Here is a 2932-nt window from a genome sequence, read left to right as displayed (position 1 = left end):
GATATTAATAGTAGCTAACGAATGAGGTTGTTTCAGGATTATATTAGATTAAATATACAAAGTACTTAGAACAGTGCTTGACACATCGTAAGTGCTTAGCAAATATTAGCTACTACTATTATCAATTTTGAAATGAATATATTAAGAACGTAGCTCCTTTTTAAATTATACTTTAAGTTCTAGGGTACATGTGCACAACGTGCAGGTTTGTTACATATGTATACATGTGCCATGTTGGTGTGCTGCACCTATTAACTCATCATTTACATTAGGTATATCTCCTAATGCTATCTCTCCCCTCTCCCCCCACCCCATGACAGGCCCCGGTGTGTGATGTTCCCCGTCCTGTGTCCAAGCGTTCTCATTGTTCACTTCCCACCTATGAGTGAGAACATGCAGTGTTTGGTTTTTTGTCCTTGCGATAGTTTGCTGAGAATGATGGTTTCCAGCTTCATCCATGTCCCTACAAAGGACATGAACTCATCCTTTTTTATGGCTGCATAGTATTCCATGGTGTATATGTGCCACATTTTCTTAATCCAGTCTATCATTGATGGACATTTGGGTTGGTTCCAAGTCTTTGCTATTGTGAATAGTGCTGCAGTAAACATATGTGTGCATGTGTCTTTATAGCAGCATGATTTATAATCCTTTGGGTATATACCCAGTAATGGGATGGCTGGGTCAAATGGTATTTCTAGTTCTAGATCCTTGAGGAATCGCCACACTGACTTCAACCATGGTTGAACTAGTTTACAGTCCCACCAACAGTGTAAAAATGTTCCTATTTCTCCACATCCTCTCCGGCACCTGTTGTTTCCTGACTTTTTGATGATCGCCAAGGAATGTAGCTCCTTTTAATCTTAATCCAAATTCTATATGTGTTTATGGGGTGTAATCTCTGTACACATGCAATTTTAAACTTATTTTTTCTTTTTTCTGCATAAATATCTTTTTGATTTGGCTATATAGACTTCATGTGTTACTTTTAATAGCTCCATCAAGTTGTTGCATCATTTCCTGCAATAGTGCAAGAATGCCACATACCTTTTATAGTATTATAACGATACTTTTGTTGTAATATGTACAGGTTGTTCCTACTATTATTTTATTATATATGCAAGACGGCACTCAGATTTACCCTTGTTTTTGAGTGAGGCAAAATATAATTATATTTCATAACTGTAAAGTAATATCACAAGGAACATGTTGGAAAATTTATATTAATTCTATTGTTTTTTGCTTAAGGAACATAATTGCTAAAGATAAAATGTGAACTTTTAGAAGAATGACATTTCAATAAAACTTTCTAAAATGGTTGCCCTAAGTTACAATATCGTATTATGTGAATATTTTACAGCATGTCATCACTAGAATTTGTATTATTATTTGATAGATATAAACAAATGTTTATATCTCTTCTTGTGTGAAGTCTTGCTCATATCATTTGACCACTGAACTCTTGAAATTCTTTTCTTTTCTTTTTTATTGAGACAGAGTCTCACTCTGTCATCCGAGCTGAAATGCAGTGGTGCAATCATGAATCACTGCAGCCTTGATCTCCTGGGTTCAGGCAATCCACCCACCTCAGCCTCCAAGTAGCTGAGATTGCAGGCATGTGCACCCACACCTAGCTAATTTTTTAATTTTCTGTAGAGATGGGGTCTCCCTACATCGCCAAGGCTGGTCTTGAACTCCTGGGAGCAAGCAATCCTCCCAGGTTGGCTTCCCAAAGTGTGGAGATTAAGGTGTGAGCCACCTTGCTTGGGCGGAATTATTTTCTTATACACTTAAATTTAGATATGAACCCTTTTTTTTTTACATCTGATGAAAATAATTTTCCCTTCCATTGTAGTTTTTTGATTTACATAATTGTGATTTTTCAAATCTTTACGTATTTGAAAATTTTTCTTTGAATCTTTTTTATTATATCTGGTTTCATCCAGATAAAATTATCTTGTTCTTCTATTTTTTCTTATAAATGAATTCTTAACTTTGCGGTTTATTGTGATATGCCATATAAGAATGATTGAAAAAAAAAAGTTGCAGACCATCACGTTGAACATCTGGTATTTGGTTTTATGAGATAATAATTATAAGAAATACAATAGGATTCTACTCACTGTAGAAGCTGAGAGCAGAAGGCAGATTTTTTGAAGGGAATGTCTCTTTACTTTCCTTATTGCATTAGATCTCCCTGATCCAAACAACAAGCTCTGAGAAAGGGAAAAAAAAATCTATGCCCCAAATAGAGCAGAGTTTAGAACTAAAGACAATGCTGGCATCTCATTGTCTCCTTAGGTTAGGTGATCTAATTTATCTTTTCGTTTTATGAAATTAATCTCAAGCGAACACACTGTTCACACTTTTAAGTTAAGGGATGCTTAATGTGCTTAGTGCAAGCTAGAAATATTGATTTCTTAATGTAACACTTAAACACATATATTATTGCATCAATTCCTGGCAGAAACTATTTTAACTCTTTGAACTAGTAAAAAAGGAAAGTCCTGTTTGTGGTTAAAAATATGAGTGCATTTAGTAACACTTCCGGCCTGGTAAAATTACAATCCAGAAATGCTAACAAAAAATGTTGCCTTATTTGGTTACTTCACTTTAGCACAACAAAACCTTGTCTTTGGTTCTTTAAGCAGTTAACTTCAGTACCTCAAATGTTTCTTAATCTAGGTGCTGAAAATGAAAAGATACATAAGAAAAGATTTCTGCTGGGGCAATTTAAAGCTTAGTGCAGACAGATACAGAAAATTGATTGCAACATAATTTGGTAAATCTTAAGAACCAGACCATTTAACTGCTTGTGTCAAAGATTTTAAAGGAGACTCACAGTTTACAGTTAACAGTAGAGGGGCTATTATCCTATCTCCCTTTTGACACTGCCCCCAGCTCAACTTAAAAGGGCTTCAGAACCTCCCAG

Source organism: Homo sapiens, chromosome 9, assembly GCF_000001405.40.
Source record: "Homo sapiens chromosome 9, GRCh38.p14 Primary Assembly".
NCBI lineage: Eukaryota > Metazoa > Chordata > Mammalia > Primates > Hominidae > Homo > Homo sapiens.
This window is presented reverse-complemented; position numbering follows the sequence as displayed.